We start from the raw sequence: 18,098 nt of genomic DNA, 5'->3' as shown, positions 1-18,098 counted from the left end.
TCTTCTTTGGGTAATGACAGGGACCTCAACATTTAGAGAAAAGGCCAAACATATCATAGCTACATGGGCCTAGCAGTATATCAAATGTTGTAAACACTTCTGTAGTCTGTAGTCAGAAACCACCTAAAGACAGCCCAGCTATCCTGGAAAATAGCTATAGTCTTCAAATTGTTGATGACAGTTATTTAGAAGATGCTGATTGGTTCAGGGAAACAGATAACAGTGCATATGTCGTACTAGACAACTTGAGATCACTGCTTTCAAACTATGAGCCTTAAGAACCCATTTCCTTACAGAGATGTAAGCCCTGTGGAAAATAAAGCTGTATAAGTGGAAGAGCAGGATATGAGCTGAACAAATTATCCTCAGAGTGATTTGGTACTGGTATTATAACTATTATTCTCTTACAGAGGATCCAGGTTGCTGTTCTGATCTTGCAGTTTGTATTCTTGACCTTACAACAATGTATAAATTAGACTGCCTTGTATGTTATCTTCATCTACATGGTTATTTTGGTCATCAACCTGCCTTATTGAGATATCAGTAAAACAAATAAGAATGCAGATCCAAAGATAAAACGAATAACATACTGAGGAAGGAACTTCTGCATTTCTTATATAGAACACCATGTCCCACTGAGGAGTGATTTGTATGTGAACATTTCATACTTAAAATCTTTCATATGACTGGCTGTGACCTGAAGCTGTAACATGAGTTATGAAGTCTGTTAAAATACTTTTTTTTTTTGGGACGGAATTTCACTCTTTCACCCAGCTGGAGTGCAATGGTGCGATCTCAGCTCACTGCAACCTCCGCCTCCTGGGTTCAAACGATTCCCCTGCCTCAGCCTCCTGAGTAGCTGGGATTACAGGCATCCGCCACCATGCTGGCTAATTTCTGTATTTTTAGTAGAGACAGAGTTTCGCCATGTTGGCCAGGCTAGTCTCAAACCCCTGACCTCAGGTGATCACCTAAAGGTGATCCCGGCCTAAAATACATTTTTGATACGGCAACATAAGTGAACAATAAATATATTTTAAATGGTTGTCAGAGGCACTAAAGAGATAGAATTTCCTGTTACTGACCCCTTGTATTGATTACTCTGAATAAATTAATAAGAAAACAAATGGTGCTAAACTGCCTTAAAGAAAAATTTAGAAGGAAATTGCCAGGTGCAGTGGCTCATGCCTGTAATCCCAGCACTTTGGGAGGCCAAGGCAGGCGGATCACCTGAGGTCAGGAGTTCGAGACCAGCCTGGCCAACATGGTGAAACCCTGTCTCTACCAAAAATGCAACAATTTGCCAGGTGTGGTGGTGCACGCCTGTAGTCGCAACTACTCGGGAGGATGAGGCATGAGAATAGCTTGAATCTGGGAGGTGGAGGTTGCAGTGAGCTGAGGTCATGCCACTGTACTCTAGCCTAGGTGACAGAGCAAGACTGTGTCTCAAAAAAAAAAAAATTTAGAAGGAAATTGTGTTGGTCATCATTGTTTTCAACACAAGACATGAGTTTGCATCCACAGTGCAACAGATGAACCAAACTTCCCCTGACATTCCCATACAAGTGATTTGTCTAATGAAGTTTTGCTGTGCCTGTTTTTGATTAACAATATCTCTTCCAGAAAAAGGTAGAATTATAAATGACAGTTGTTTAAGGTATATTAATAAAACCACATTTTGAAATTAACATGGGCTTCAACTGTATTATATACTTGGTTCTAATTAGTGGTTGTTTATTAGAATTAATAGTATTTACAGGGAAGAAAGCTCTTAAAGTTAGATGTTTAATATGTGGCTTTTTTTTTCATTTTGCTTACATTAAACATAATTATAGTTGGCATTCATTTGCATTTTTATTTTGCAGTCTCTTGTTTTCAGCAGCCACTGTAAAGCAGTGAGTGGCTACTCAGACCAGGTTGTCCATCAGCGGAGATCAGCTACCTCCTCGCTGCGTCGCTGCCTGCTCACTGAGCTGCCATCTTTTTTGTGTGTGGCCAGTCCACGAGTAAGTGCTCCAGGAGGGAAGAGATGAAATAGATGGCAATAGGAGAAATAAACCAATTTTTAAGGGATTTATTTCTTAAACAGAATTGTTTTAAACTATTTGGACTTTAAGAAACATATAAATTCTAGTATTTTAAAATGTGGGCATTTGTGATTCTGGCCTGCCCCAGACAACACTTATATTCACCTTCATTTGTTGATTTAAGAATAGTTGTATGGTCGATAGCTTCTTTTTATTTAGTCAGGGGCTCTAAACTATAGTGGGAATAAACCATCTGTCAGGTAGAATATATATCACCCAATAGCAGGGTCGGGGCGAGGGAACCATTTGTCACCTGTGTTGAGGTTTTGAGGGTTTTCATGAGAGGGCGTCAGATTGGTAAGGATTGGGGGAGATTTGATCCGGTCATATCACCTCAGTACAGTCTCCAGATAACAAAAGGAAACATAACACTCCAGCATCAAGAACCTTCTCAGTGTTGTGTTTTCTTGCTTTCCAAAGCAGCCTCACTTGGACTGTCATTCACATGTCTGTTCCATCTGAAAAGTGACTGTTGTATCTTCTTTGCTATTCACCATTTGTCCACTGTTGTTTGCAGATTGGGCTTAGTTTCTATTGTGGTTTCAACTTTAGCAGTTGTCTGCATCCTTCCTAATACCCTGTTTATCAAAATAGAGCCCTCTTGCCATTGCTGACAAGCATTGCTGGAAAGGCTTTAATTGGCACACTGGGGTTATTTACTTTGCCTACATCTTCCATCCTCTTTTTTATCCATGTTGATCAGAGCCAGAGAAAAGATCTACCAAGAAGGGAAATAATCGAACTGTGGCCAGGTTCTGTGGTTAGAGCCAAGAATGAATTTCTGTCTTCCCAGTTCATTTCTTTTTGCTCCAAGAGGCAACTTTCCGTTAGCCAGGAAGCTCTAAGAGGTTGACATTTCTTACCCTTTTATGTTTTTCTCTTGTTTCTCCACTCATCTTAGCAAGTGTACTGTTTTTACAGGTTTGTTGGTTTTTTTTGTTTTTGTTTTTTTTAATGCTTTTGAGACAGGGTTTCACTCTGTTACCCAGCCTGGAGTGCAGTGGCATTATTTCAGCTCACTGCAACCTCAACCTCCTGGGCTCAAGTGATCCTCCCACCTCAGCCTCCCAAGTAGCTGGGACTACAGGTGCGCACCACCGCTCCTGGCTACTTTTTAAATTTTTTGTAAAGACGAGGTTTTGTCATGTCGCCCAGGCTATTCTCCAACTCCTGAGTTCAAGCTATCTACCTGTCTTGGCCTCCCAAAGTGCTGGGATCACAGATGTGAGCCACCGTGCCCAGCCTGTTTTCACAGTTCTATTAAAAGAAGAAGGAGCCTTTTCTGTCTCCCTTGTTAATATTTTTCTACCATTATTTTTTATCAGCTTGCGTTCTTTATTCAGTTTATCAAAAGACAGAATCTGACAGGGGACCCCTAGAAAGATGATGAATCCTGTTGACTCCTGCCTGCCTAGATTTCTGTCTGCTGCTCCTGTGCTATATGAGTTTAATTCCCTTGTCACTATCAACTTTGTTTGGTTTATACTGGCTATCCAGAAAGTATTTGGATTTTGTACATATCCTGTTCTTCCAAAGTATTCTTGGTCTCAGAAGCTTAAGTTAGTGCAGGGAAATGCACTTTTTCTAGGAAGCATTTAAAGCCAAGAGCTTCCATAGAAGGCAGGCTTCAGTCTTTCATGGTTGTGTGGTTGGTTTTGTTCTCTTAGTATGATAGGTGTATACCAAGAGACCTAATAAAAGGAAGTTTAGATTTCTGAGAGAGGCACATCAAGTCTTTTTAACTTCTCCTGTTCCCAGTGTTTTGTTTTTTGGTTGTTGGGGTTTTTTGTTTTTGTTTTTGAGATGGAGCCTTGCTCTCTCACCCAGGCTGGAGTGCAGTGACACAACCTTGGTTGAATGCAGCCTTCGCCTCCCAGGTTCAAGCAATTATCGTGCCTCAGCCCCCCAGGTAGCTGGGATTACAGGTGCATGCCATCACGCCCAGCTCATTTTTGTATTTTTAGTAGAGACAGGGTTTCACCATGTTAGCCAGGCTGGGCTCGAACTCCTAACCTCATGTGATCCTCCTGCCTAAGCCTCCCAAAGTGCTGGGATTACAGGCCTGAGCCACTGTGCCCAGCCTGTTCCCAGTGTTTAAAGAGCCAATAAAGATGAGCTCTCTTGGCCTGTAATTGTATTTATTTGTTGACCTGAAAGTTCTTCATTTTTTACCACTTGGAGCTCCCCAAATATCTATAACCCACCACTCTCAAGAACAGTCCCACTCTCTCACACATGCATGCCCCATCTATACTACTTCAGTATTGTTTTTAGAGGAGCCAGAAATCCCAGCTACCATGCCTGCTGCTGCTGTTTCTCTCAAGAAAAGTAAATGTAGCTTGAGGAAAACTCTAATTGCTGTGAACATGTGTTGGCAAGCAGGGAGCAGGAGAAAGCTTTTATCGTTTGGCTGAAAGGGTGCTCCTTTCCCACTTGGCCCCTCCCATGTTTGTAGAGTTTCTTTACATAGTATGTGCTAAACCTGAAAATGGGAGTAATTACACCGTGATTATTAGGAGGACAGGAAGAAGAGTTTAGATATCTCTATTTCATACACAGATCTACAACTTTTACCTTTCAGATCAGTCCTAGGGATTCAGATCAGTGAATAAGGCAAAATTTCATGAGATACCCTAATTATATCTTATATTGACTTCTAACCCATCTGTATTGGGGAGAGAGAAACTGATGTCCTTTGAAGCCAACCCTGGCCTTGAATTAGGCAAATTAATTTCTCTGACACATGCTATGAAAACTTGAGGGTTAGTTCAGGAAGAACTGTGCCACTATGGAAGGAATTATAGGAGCTGTTTTATCATTAGCTGAGGAAATAATTCTGCAGGGTTAATAAATTAAGGCCTTAGGAATTATTCTTACCAAAATACTGCAGCGCTTGGAGCGGTTACGCTTCCTTCAGCTAGAGCAGGAACATACGTGTCCTCAGGAAGGACGCGCTGAACGCTTAAGGGGGCAGCCCCTGAAGGTACTGTAGTTTCAGAGGTTAATGAAGCAAGAAAGGGGTTAGCTCCTGTAGGACGAGGGAGAGTATGCATTTTTTGTGGGGAGGGAAGAACGGTACGTCATGCTTCATCTCTCCTTCTGATCAAATCGGGAGGTCACTTGGGGTTAGCAGAATAGGGGGAGGCTGTCTGGGATACAGCTGACTTAGAAAGCAGGATTTACTCTAAGTATATTGGACATTTTTGCCCTCTTTTGGACCTCATAAGTACATTGCTTACATACTTACAACATGACATTGTATGATTCTGAATATATTAATATCTTGATCCTGGGCTCCTGGCCAAAGAAGCCTCTCAAAACACTGAAAAATATTTCACTAAGAACAGTGTCTTGCAAACCTCTTAAGCATTCAATCCTAGACCTGGAAGGGTATCATCAAAATGAAAATTGAAAAATAGATGAAAGTTTATAACTGGAAAAAGTTGTTTTGTTTTTAAACTATAAGAGTGCCTAGAAATGAATCCCAGGCAGAAAAACCATTTTTCCTGTTTCTCTGTTCTTTCATGCTGAGATTCTAGCTTTTGGCTTTTCATCTCGAGACTATGAGCCCAGAGTCTTTATGTATAATTCCAATATAAGTTCTGCTTTTTTACAAAATAAATAAATAAATAAAAATTTTTAAATCAAAACGGTTATCTGTGAGTATAAAAATTGGTCTGTATGAGGTTTTTTTGTTGTTTTTTTTTGTTTCTTTTTTTCGTTTTGTTTTGTTTTTTTTTTTTTTTGAGACAGAGTCTCACTCTGTCACCCAGGCTGGAGTGCAGTGGTGCAATCTCAGCTCACTGTAACCTCCACCTCTTGGATTCAAGTGATTCTCCCACCTCAGCCTCCAGAGTAGCAGAGATTACAGGCAGGCACCACCATGCCCAGCTAATTTTTGTATTTTTAGTAGAGACGGGGTTTCACCATGTTGGCCAGGCCAGTCTCGAACTCCTGACCTCAGGTGATTCACCCACCTCGGCCTCCCAAACTGCTGGGATTACAGGTGTGAGCCACCGCGCTTTAGTCTTACTAGAGAAGACTAAATATGCTTTACTTATCTAAGAGTATGCATGCTGTTCAAGACATATAGAACTGGTCATATTTCTATAGTCTAGACTTACTTTTTAAACTTTTTATAGAAGTATAGCTGCTATTAATTTTGCAGGTCTGCGACACACATCCTACATGGGAGATGTTTGCTCTGACCCACGATCTGCTGGGATACTGCCATGTCAAGTCATAGAAGGGAGAGAGACCCAATTTTCATCCACCTGCTTTGTATTCCTGTATTTATTTGCTTTCTTTTGGTCCATATTTATTTGCCCATGCTCATGTATTAGTGGGAAAAATGAATAAGTTGGAAGCAAGAAAACAAGTTCCTTCTTTTTTTAACTTTTTTTTTTTTTTTTTTGAGACAGTCTGTCACCCTGTTGCCCAGGCTGGAGTGCAGTGGCACAGTCTTGGCTCATTGCAACATCTGCCTCCTAGGTTCAAGCCATTCTTGTGCCTCAGCCTCCCAACTATCTGGGATTAGAGGTGAACGCCACCATGCCAGGCTAATTTTTGTATTTTTTGTAGAGATGGGGTTTTGCCATCTTGGCCAGGCTAGTCTTGAACTCCTGACCTTAGGCGATCTGCCACCTCAGCCTTCCAAAGTGCTGGGATTACAGGTGTGAGCCACCATGCTCAGCCGAAAACAAGTTCCTTTTGGAGAGGATAAAGGTGATATGAGATTCTAGTATTGTTTGGATAAACTATTTTTGTTGTGAACTGGTTTTGGAACTCCAGGCCCAGTTTGCTGTGACCCTCTGTAGTTTTGCATCTGGACCATAGATGGCACTGCTCCCTAGCAAACTCAGTTCAGCTTCATCTGCAAGCCAGAGTACTCTCTGGTTATTGGTAAATGATGCTCTTTCTGTCACGTTGGTACCCTCCAGAGGCACCTACAGCCCATGGTCAGCTGTTCATATGTCTCAAGGCAGTATTTCTCAAGGTTCAACTTGGGACGCTGGGGTGCTTGTCAAAAACATAGGTCTATTGGCCCCTCCCTCAGTTCTTCTGGTTCAAAATCTACACTTTTGGTCCGCTTCAAAGGAGGTCCTTATGTGTACCAAAACCTGACAGCCATTTCCCTAAAGCTTGATCAACACAAAAGGAGAAAAGTTAATAGCAAGATCAAGTTCCCTTGGTGCCTAACTTCCACGAAATGATAGAACTACCTAACTAGATACAGCCGGTGTTTTATGTTCTGATCTCTCCTGTGCTGTGGCCTTTGCTTCTCATACGCTGTTTCTCCCCATGTCTTAGTCTAGCTTTAGGGTTCTTCTGAGCAATTCTGCGTATGCAGATTGAGTATCTCTTATCCAAAAATCCCAAACCCAAAATGCTCCAATGAGCATTTCCTTAGTGCATCATGTAGGCACTCAAAGTTTTAGATTTTCAGATTAGGGATATTCAACCTGAAATGGGCTTTCAGCATATTTGTCAGCGTGGGCTTGACAGATAATCACAGCCTCCACATTTTAACAAAAGCTAGCCTTGTCATCTTCAAGTTCCTTACCAGTTGACTTCACAGGTATCTGAATACTGCCTATTAGAGTAGGAATAAACCCAGATAGCCAAAGAAGGATAAAATCTGTGTTTCTGAATTGGCAGGAGCCCTCTACTCCATCGAGTGAGCAGCAGCTGAGTGTTGTTTGGTTATACCTTGTATTGAGATAAGAATTTGTGTATAGCCTTTGGCCAAGCCAGGAAACAAATCTGCTACTCTCTGGCAATTGCTTCCCTACCCTCCCCTGCCTCCGCACTCCCCCTTCCCCAGTTTATGGCCTGAAAGAAAGTTTCTCTTCCATTAGGTTTGTCAGTCAGCAACCTGGTCAGGGAAGAGGAGAAAGCTGTTGATAAATTTGGGAGCTTTGCCACAAAAGCATTAAAGATGACTTCAAATATGCCAGGCCAATATTCTTTAGTTTTTAAATGAAGTCTGACTAGCTGCAGCTCCCTTTCTGGCATCACCATCATGCATATGGTTAAGAGAACTTTGCCAAGAACAATATCTAGCAGTGAAGGGGAGGTGGCAAAATGATCAGATATATATGCATATAATAGAGTTATTGCTGACCTGGTATTCTCATTTATCTGCAAACTCCAGCTCTCTTTGGATCTTTAGTTTGTTTGCAGGTTTCATTTTATAAGAGGTTGGCTTTTTATCTGGAAAAGCTCACTAAGTCATTCATTAGGGACAGCTTAGTGTGCCAGAACAGATATTTAAAACCACTAGTCTAAGAACTATCCACATTAGTCTGATTTCAAAGTTGAGGTTCCCAAAAGGCATAGTGTGTATGGACAACGTGAAAGAGCCATCTCATGTGAATCTTTAACTGCAGGTTACCGCAGTGCCATTGGATTCTTACTGCAATGACCGAAGTGCAGAATATGAAAGGCGAGTTCTGAAGGAAGGAGGGAGTCTGGCAGCCAAGCAGTGTTTGTTGAATGGGGCCCCTGAACTGGCTGCAGACTGGCTAAATAGACGATCACAGTTCTTCCCAGAGCCAGCTGGAGGTCTGTGGAGCATCAGACCTCAGAATGGCTGGTCTTTCATCAGGATTCCAGGTGAGTTCTCAATCCTCTTGGAATGTGTTCCTCGCTTTGGCAAGGGGAGAACCAGGGTTATCTTCATGTGGTCCTTTCAGATATTTGGAATTTACTGTTCTTGAGGTTTCTGCTTCCTTTTTTGGCCTTAGTAATTCATAGGTAAGAATATTAGTAATTTATGATGAGTGGAGAGAGAAATGTTTTTAGATTTGTGCTTAAATACACTCCTTTGACATGCTTACAGCTGAGAAAGAAATGCCACTCTTAAAAAAAAAAAGGTAGAAATAAACTTAGTAGGAAAGGCTCTAGGTTGAATGAGTACGGTTGTCTTGTGCCATTGCCAGTGGAATGAATGAGAATGTCGTCACTCACAGAAAGCCTCATTTAAATAGCATAAACAGTGTCCTACATGAAGCACTAGAGATCTGAATGATAACAAGAGGAAAAACAGTGCATTCTATGCCAAAATACTAGCAGATTCCCAGATCCCCTAGGGTCAAAGTCGGGGGTTGAAAGGAAACTAGGTTTTCATCTTTGCCTTAGTGAGACTACTTTTAAGGAAACTGAACACAGATAATTCATAGGCTCACGTTCTTTGCTTACACCTGCAGGCAAACTGGAATGGTAGCTTGGAGCTATAGTGTTAGTTTTGGTTGTCCAAAATCTCTGACATTTTGACTACATTCCTTTTTTTTTTGAGATGGAGTCCCGCTCTGTTGCCCAGGCTGGAGTGCAGTGGCGTGATCTCGGCTCACTGCAAGCCCCGCCTCCTGGGTTCAAGCCATTCTCCTGCCTCAGCCTTCCAAGTAGCTGGGACTACAGGCGCCCACCACCACGCCTGGCTAATTTTTTGTATTTTTAGTAGACATGGGGTTTCACTATGTTAGCCAGGATGGTCTCGATCTCCTGACCTCGTGATCTGCCTGCCTCAGCCTCCCAAAGTGCTGGGATTACAGGCGTGAGCCACCGCGCCCGGCCAACTATATCCCTTTTACTGGCATGTAATGGAAATAAACTAGAGCTAAGCATTCAACAGAGGTCTTCTTCTGTCTCTAAGAGATAACTGGATTCCAGTGTGTAAGGCCTGGTTTTTCCACTTTATTTTAACTTTGTCAAGTGTCAAGGGGTTTGCCCCAGCCTGTTAGTGCTTTGAGAACTCCAAGATGTCTTTCTGCGTATCTGAAGGCAGTATTACACATGGCCTTGTAGCTGACTTAAAGCACATGCAGTGAGTGGAAATATATTGTTTGAAAATCAGTGGGGGAACCTAAGTGTAAAGCAAGCTGGTAAGGAAACTACAGAATCCCAGGCAAGAGATGAGCACCGTTATTGAAAGAAGCAAGATAGCACCTTACTTCTTTTTTCTCCCTTCTTGGTTCTGGCTCCTAAGTTCCCATTACAGGAGTAGATGGCTTATTGCTGGCGTTGTGGGAATCTCTTGTGGCTTTTCCTGTTCTTTGAAAGAAAAATGGACCTTGTTTAAATAGCAGGAAGCGTCTGAGTTCTTTTTGCATCGATAAAAAGCACCAGCCTCACTGGCTGTTTACTGTGAGAACCAACCAGCTCCTCACCCCATTGTGCTCTGTAGACTAGCTGGGACAGGGCGGGGGTTGGGGGTGTCTCACTGGAACCCTTTATCATCTCTCTTTCCTTTATACTTTTACGTTTTCTCTTTCCCTGAGAAGGGTTGCTTCCATATTCCTTGAGAGACTGACCAAAATCTTCTGGGTTTCACACCTTTTCTTCTCCATGTTTCACCAGAAAGATGTACAATCCCTTCAAAAGTCCCCTTTCCTTGGAAAAATGAGATATTATTTAATCTTTTGCCCTAATTTTACTGCCATAGGCTACATTCTTTTTATCTCTGAACAGGATCTTACACCGTGGATGGTAAAAACCTGTGTCTAATGAAAGTACTATAGGATTGTAGGAAAGTTTGTAAGAGAGTAGGATAGGTTTGTTCATTTAAACATTTTTTAAGCTCCTGTTTTATTTTATTTATTTTTAACACCCAATGATCCAGAAAGCTCCTGTTTTAAAGAAGGGTCTGGGCACAGGTTTGACTTAGCAGAATCAGCTGGATTTCCAGAGAAGTGTGTTCCTTGTGTCTCTGTATCCTGCTTAGCGACAGGTGGAGCTCTTGTCCAGTGCAACTTAAGTGACTGCTAAAAACTTGGCTAACAAATACCAGCCCCAGAAGTCACTCTAGTGTGTTCAGAGAAAGAAACCTGTTTTTCCTGCATATCTTACTAAGGACAAATACTAGAGACTGATTTTCTCCATGCTCACCAGCAAATCAGAGATAGTGTTCATTTTGCTGAAGTGTTTTAAGGCTGTTGCTGAAGTGTTTCTTCTTAGTCATTTTCCTTCAGGGCAGTACAAAGAAGTCCAGTCCATCCACTTCTCCCTTCCCCACCTACACAATAACAAGATAACAAGCTGACAGCAGGTACCACTTCTTGCCTCCTTTAGTCATGTTAGAGTTCTGTCTTTATAAGTATATGCACATCTTTATTTCTGAGCTTTTCTAATCCTAGGAACAGTTCATTCTGATTAGCAAAGTAAAGTAGATGTGGGAGGCAGGACTGTTTGAAAACCATTGAATCATGATTTTGAAATAATTGAAGTTTCTCAAAATTCAGACATAAAACAAATTTTTATATGCATTAACATTTGTGCTAAGAGAGTATATCTAAATGGAGAAAGAAGATAAGCAGGCTACAGAAATCTTACGAACTTAGCTTGCCCACCCTCACTCAAGGGCTGAAAAATATGTGGTCTTTTTTTTTTTCACCTTGTGCTTTTAATGAGAACGGAAAGAAGTATGTCTAAAGCTGATTGGTAGCTCTGTGGTGAATGTTTAGGAGCTATCAAAATTGAGAGACCTTAGGGAATTCAATTACTGGAGAAGGGTAATTGTGGTAAGAATAAAACCTTAAAAGTTGTTATGAAAGCTTTGCTGCCTGCTCAGACTTGGAATTTATACAGTACTCCTTGTCTGGTGCCAGGGAGAGGGCTTAGCAGTCAATTCTGTCCCAGCTGCAGTCATTTGATTGTGTTGGTAAGGAGACCAACAAAAAGAAGAGCATTTCAATAATCTAAACAGGACCAAACAAAGAGACTGAACAAAGGTGTGTGCCACAGCTTCAGGGAGCGGGTGGTGGAAGGAGACATGGCCTGGCAGCATTCTGAAGGTGGGAAATGGCAGGCTGCAGTGCAGAGGGAGTAAACAGCCAGGACCTGTGGCTTTGTAGCAAAAACAGAGTGGCTGATGATTTGTTATGGTGCTGTCAGCACATCCGTTCTTGTTCCTTGTATACAATAATTGTGCATTTGGCAAATTGTGGCAAGAACAGAGAATGACTGTTGAGAACTTTTGGATTGCTGTCAACGGTCAGACTGTGGTTCTGAAGAAAAGCCATAGGTTCAAACCCAGAAACTGAGGAGGAACATTGTGTTTTTCTTTTAGTTGTTAGTTGTCTATATAATATCTCCATTCTTTCTCTCTCCCTTTTTGTGTCCTATGGCCACTTCCACATATACTCTTACCCAACCCCTTAAACCTAAACTCTTCCCCTCTTAATGACAGCAATTGTTCAGGGCATGTTTATGGACCAGTCTGCAAACAGGAAACTCTACTTCCTGAATATGATAGGAGTTAAATGATACTAACTGGATAAGATGAAAATTTGTGAGTTAAGTGTTCTTTAAAGATCTGTTGCTGAAATGCTTTTCTTGTGAGAAGAGGAAAGAGAAAGCACAAGTTAGTGAGTGAGAGGAGCTTCACTGCAGAGAAACTCAAAGTCAGTCTTTCTGAAAAGCCCTGCTTTCTTTATTGAATTAACATACAACTAGGGTTAACGACATTTACCAGTCAACCTATTTGCAGTCCTCCAAGAGAGCTAGTTTTGGGTTTAAAAAAAAAAAAGGGTAGGGGGGCTGGGTACCATGGCTCAGCACTTTAGGAGGCTGAGCTGGGAGGATCCCTTGAGCCCAGGAGTTCAAGACCAGCCTAGGCAATATGGCAATACCCTGTTTCTACAAAAAAAGAGAAACAAAATTAACTGGGTGTGATAGCTCACTTGTAGTCCAAGCTACTCAGGAGGCTGAGATGGGAGGATCACTTGAGCCCAGGAGGTCGAGGCTGCCATGAGCTGTCATTGCGCTGCTGCATTCCAGCCTGGGTGACAGAGTGGAACCCTGTCTTGAAAAAGGGAAAAAAAAGAGAGAGGTTATAAATCTCTTTGTTTACTTTTCTCCAAAGGCAGGTAGGATACGTTCTCAATGCTTTCAGAACTAGCAGAAACAGATATCTAGAGATAGGATGAACAAAGAAAAAACAAAATTTTCAGGTCACTTAACAGCAGATTGACATAGATGTCACCCATAGATGTCCATGTATACCTGGTGTCCTCTGAGTAAGGATGTGGAGCAGGGATGCTTTTAAGTGCCTTAAGAGCACATGTCTGATTGGGAGTGATCAGGGAATCTGCACTTCCCCCTTTGGGGATGTTTTTTCCCAGGGCACTCCTGGAGTCGTGATATTTTCAGGGCGTTGCATTCTCCCTTTAGAGCACTTTTCTGATCTCATGATGACAAGCATCTTGGTTTTAGTGATTGTGGTTGCATACAGCTTTGCATTGAGTGATTTTGTCGCTTCAATTAAATACAGTTCCCCCTCACCCCCTTTTCTTCTCCCCAGGCAAGGAGAGCCTCATCACTGACAGTGGAAAGCTGTATGCCCTTGATGTCCTGCTGACTCGGCTCAAGTCTCAAGGGCATAGGGTCCTTATCTACTCCCAGATGACCAGGATGATAGACCTACTGGAGGTAGGAGAGGGAATCTTGGGGACCTAGGATACCTTGACATTTAATTTGTAGGAATCAGATGTCCATGACTAATGTTAGTCCTGCTTAATGGGAGCCCCAAAACTCCCTTTTGTCTTTTTTCTTTTTCCTTTTTTTTTTTTTTTGAGACAGAGTCTCACTCTATCACCCAGGCTGGAGTGCAGTGATGCGATCTCGGCTCTGCAACCTCTGCCTTCCAGGTTCAAGGAATTCTTCTGCTCCAGTCTCCCGAGTAGCTGGGATTACAGGCGTGCACCACCACACTCAGCTCTTTTTTTTTTTTTTTTTTTTTTTTAAGTAGAGATGGGGTTTCGCCATGTTAGCCAGGCTGGTCTTGAACTCCTGGCCTCAAGTGATCCACCCACCTCAGCCTCTCAAAGAGTTGGGATTACAGGCATGAGCCACCACACGCAGCCCCCAAAACTCCTTTTTTTGATTTTACAATCTATAAAGGGAGCAGAGTTAGCTCCTGGCATGGGGAGTATGTGAAGGACTTCTGCCCCCTGCCCTACACCAGTGAAATAGAACACCCCTTACATCCTTTTACTAGGGAAGACATTTCTTAATTTTAAAGTAGGTCACAGCCTAGGAATCTAAAATTATGTATGGAAAACAAGATTTAGGATTAGTTCTCTGCGTAAAAAAGCAGAGAACAGCTATTCAACCTGAGTTAATATAGTGATTCTCAACTTGACTACATATCGCAATCACCTGAGAAGCTTTAAAAAAATATGGATTTCTAGTCCTATTTCCAGAGATTCTTATTTATTACATTTGAAATGAGGCCTGGGCATCAGGATATTTAAAAGGTCCTGGGGTGATTCTAATATGCAACCAGGCTTGACAGCTACTAAGTTAGTGGAAAAGATATGACTGTGCAAGGCAGCTTTTGTTTCTTTAATTGCTTCTTTGTTGAAGTTTTTCTTTTTCTTGTCTGAGTGGTGACTTATTTTTTAAGGGACAGGAGGTCACAGACCTAGAAACAGGAGAGTGAAAATGAGAACAGATAATCACAAACTAGTACAATAAGTCTTTATATAAATAAAGTTTGAGAGGCAGAAGTACCTGGTTGTCAGAAGTACATAAATGTTCTCATGTTTTTACATGTGTAAGGCTTCATACCCTCGCCCTGCTACACCAGGGAATCGTAATAAGTAAGTGGAAATTGTACTGTTATTTTCCTTATCTAGGAATAAAGCAATAGGGACCATATCAGTACAGAAGGAATGAAGGCTAGCATTAAGGAGGGTTTTCAGGCTTTTTGGAAGCCAAGATTGGCTTGTTGAATTTTGCAATGAATTTATCTGAAATCAGTGGGAGGTTTCTTTTAATAATCCGGCAACTTCTTTTAGCAAGAGACATAAATGATTTTTGGGGTCAGTTTCAGCACTAAGTCTTAGGTTTCATAGCCCCTTGAATGCTGTTGACAGACTAAACTCTCTGGTTTGTATTATGAGTAGGCCACTTATTCCTAAATGATGGAAGTGCTTATGAGTGAATGTAAGTCACCATAAGAGAGGTGATTAAGCTGTTGTGTTTGATGTATATATTAACTATGTTAAATATCCTAACAGTAGTAATCCAAAATAAAAGGACTGCCTGCATGTCTAGTGTTCTGTTCAAACAGATGATCCCAACAGCCAAAACAACATGAGTAACTTTTCCTGCAGTGGGGCTCTTTTTAGGTAAAGTGCACTTTCCTTGTCCTCAAGAGGCAGGGAAAGTATAGCTAAAGTAGTGATCTTCAGCTGCTAACAATTAAAGAAAAAGCAGTATGCTAAGGATACTGGTAAGGGACATAATGGTATTTCTTTTCCAAGACTATAGTCTTACATGTTGATTCATATGAAAGGAAAGTTCCAAGGGAATGTGAATGAGCAATCCAAAAATAAACTAGCTTCGGTAGGTGAAGGTGAGTGTAGGTGGTTTAAGTTTGATACAGCCTTTATTATAGTCCTTCCCTCGGTGTATCGCACACTTCTAGGTTCTCATTAAATATTACTAAAATAAGTAATTCAGAGTATGATAAGCTTTGTTCAGGATAAGTGCTGTAAACTCTACCCACCAGGATCACTTCCTCTCTATCTATAATCCAACAGTTATTTTTGGGTTATGGACCTAGTGGGTAGGTTTTGCAAACAAGCAGCTTGAGAACCTCTCTAAACATAGATGTATTTCTAAGGGGAATTCCAAATTAGGGAAATGCAAATTCAAAGCCTGAATTTCACAACTGCTGACATTGCTTAGCCATATGTATAACATGCATCTTGGATGTTGAAACCAGAAAATGTTGCAACTATTTGTATGTTTTAAAAACTAAAATGAAATTCTTCTCTGGTTTCCTTAATACTACACTAATGGTTCTTCCTTTAATTTCTTAAAGTTTATTCATTTTTAATTTGTTTTAATATTACCCACTCAAATGAACCACATTCTGTATTCCAGGAGATTAGTACTGAAATAGAATTTAATTTATGAGCATGGAATTACAATGCCCAAAGTGTTTACCATATATTTAATCATTGATTGAAATATAAACATATTGTACGACTTGAGATGGTGCAGCACTAGGTCTGCGTTTTTTTATCTTTGAAAGAGTGTTTTTCAGTCACTTTCATAATAGAAACTCTGAGTATTAACATTCATTAAAGCCATGTTTCAGCATTAAAGCATGACCTGGTACATGATCTTGCAGTGGGACCTTCTGAATAGATCCTGTCCATTGAGTATACTTGATCTTAAGAAAAAACACAAACTTAAGTCTCAAAATGTTGGTTGTTTTGTTTTTATTTCAGGATTTTCCTTTTTCTCTTGAAATCGTATACCCTCTTCAAAGAGAGAAAGAAATGCTTCCAATAGAGTAAGAGTTAGAAACTCACATTGCGGGTATCAAAGCTCTGTGTTGCTGTGGAGTATGTGAGCAACTCTCTTTCATCCAACAGCCTTTTTGGGTTTTTGTTGTGGTGGTTGTTGTTGTTGTTGTTGTTGTTGTTGTTATGTGCCTTAGCCATGGCTGGCTGTCTGTTTCTGGGACTTGGCAGAACTAGAAGACATTAAGAATTCACATACTTCTCTATGGCCAGGTTTCCATTCTGTGAGAAATACTAGTTTTGGACATTACTATTTGCACAGTATTTTTTAAAGTCATTGATCGCTTCCTTTTTCCCTTGGGTAAAAATCTGACTTTAAATTTCTTGTGTATATATCAGATCTTCTTCCAAATAGACTATATTCAGAAATGTTGTATTCTTTCACATGGCATCCAAATAGTAGTATTTCTAGATAGGGGATTTTTAAAAGGAGAGTGCTTTTGCTGTAACAAATGGGCACTAAGAAAAACAAAAATAGTGAAGAGGAGACTGCTTAATTTCCAAGCCAGGAGTTTTTAGTTTGCCACGGGCAGAAGCCAAGGACATAAATAGGTGAGGAAATCATAGATCAATAAATGTCATTATGAGTTTATTTTATATTTACTGAATCGCCTATAGGATCTTTTTTTTTTTTTTTTAAAAAGAGTCTCGCTCTGTCACCCAGGCTGGAGTGCAATGGCGGGATCTCAGCTCACTGCAACCTCCAGCTGCCGGGTTCAAGCAATTCTTCCTCAGCCTCCAGAGCAGCTGGGATTTCAGGCGCGCATCACCACGCCTGGCTAATTTTTGTATTTTTGTAGAGATGGGGTTTCACCATGTTGGCCAGGCTGGTCTCAAACTCCTGACCTCAAGTAATCCTCCCATCTTGGCCTCCCAAAGTGTTGGGATTACAGGCGTGAGCCACCACGCCTGGCCACCTATAGGATCTTGGCTGTTGGGCATACTAGGGGAACACATAATCCCTGTGCATTTGGGATGGTGGTATCCAGCTGGATGTCAGGCAGAACTTTTCCTGCTACCACCAGTTTTACCATGGTTAGGGACTCTTCTCTGTATTCTAGTAGCAAAGAGCTTTTAACTTATTACAGATGACTTATCTCTGAGTCTTCTCTTTTGAGTTTCATTCCTATTGCATCTAGCAACTGAGTTTGTAGTTTAAGGAAATAGGCCACTTGATACTTCCTATACAATAAAGAGTACTTGGAAAGAGTTAATCAGCTTATGCTATATGTGGTGTAATTGTTAAATACTGAAATCCAGACAAATCTTGAACTCTACCAACATATGATAATAGTGTAATATAGAATTAAATCCAGGTAATCCATACATAATGACATTTGAGACCCTGGGTTGTGTAACTTGCTCAGTCATCTATCCAAGCGCAGTGCCTCACTGGGGGAAGATTTATCCTGAGCAGACATTCTGTCATTTATGAGTTGGCCTCTCTTAGAAATGCAGGTTACCTTTGGAAGCTGTGATTCTGAAGATACTGGGAAGCTGGGTATTCTGAAAATGCCCCATGGAATGAAAAGCAAATTGGATTGGCACACTTGATATCTTAAGTTGCCTTCTTGGCCTTCTTCCAAGTGTACTTTACTTCCTTTCAAAAAAAAAAAAAGAAAGAAAATTGGGGCCACTGTTAACTAGAGTTCTTATTAGGTCTTAAGAATTGTAGAAGGAAATTTGTCAGCTTACA

General features: G+C 41.1%; 1 protein-coding gene and 1 long non-coding RNA gene across 7 annotated transcripts in view; one reads left to right on the top strand and one right to left on the bottom strand.

The window, feature by feature from the left end:
* INO80 (INO80 complex ATPase subunit) overlaps positions 1-18,098 on the top strand; it is a 137,401-nt gene that overhangs the window by 86,679 nt on the left and 32,624 nt on the right. For 4 of the 6 annotated variants that reach the window (NM_017553.3, XM_047432698.1, XM_011521686.4 and 1 more), the window contains 3 exons: positions 1,866-2,006; positions 8,477-8,702; positions 13,387-13,514. In NM_017553.3, the coding sequence (NP_060023.1) occupies positions 1,866-2,006; positions 8,477-8,702; positions 13,387-13,514 (495 nt within the window). The remainder of the gene's footprint in view (positions 1-1,865; positions 2,007-8,476; positions 8,703-13,386; positions 13,515-18,098) is intronic. The other 2 variants (NR_104038.2, XR_001751322.3) reach the window with 1 other exon arrangement.
* INO80-AS1 (INO80 antisense RNA 1) lies at positions 1,711-12,802 on the bottom strand. The gene is made up of 5 exons (NR_170322.1): positions 12,767-12,802; positions 10,974-11,100; positions 10,040-10,139; positions 4,965-5,115; positions 1,711-2,013 (listed from the first exon to the last, which is right to left on the bottom strand). It is a non-coding gene; the product is annotated as an INO80 antisense RNA 1 (long non-coding RNA).

Source organism: Homo sapiens, chromosome 15 (assembly GCF_000001405.40).
Source record: "Homo sapiens chromosome 15, GRCh38.p14 Primary Assembly".
Taxonomy (NCBI): Eukaryota; Metazoa; Chordata; class Mammalia; order Primates; family Hominidae; genus Homo; species Homo sapiens.
The sequence above is the reverse complement of the archived record's forward strand: the minus strand, read 5'-3'. Positions and strand labels throughout refer to the sequence as shown.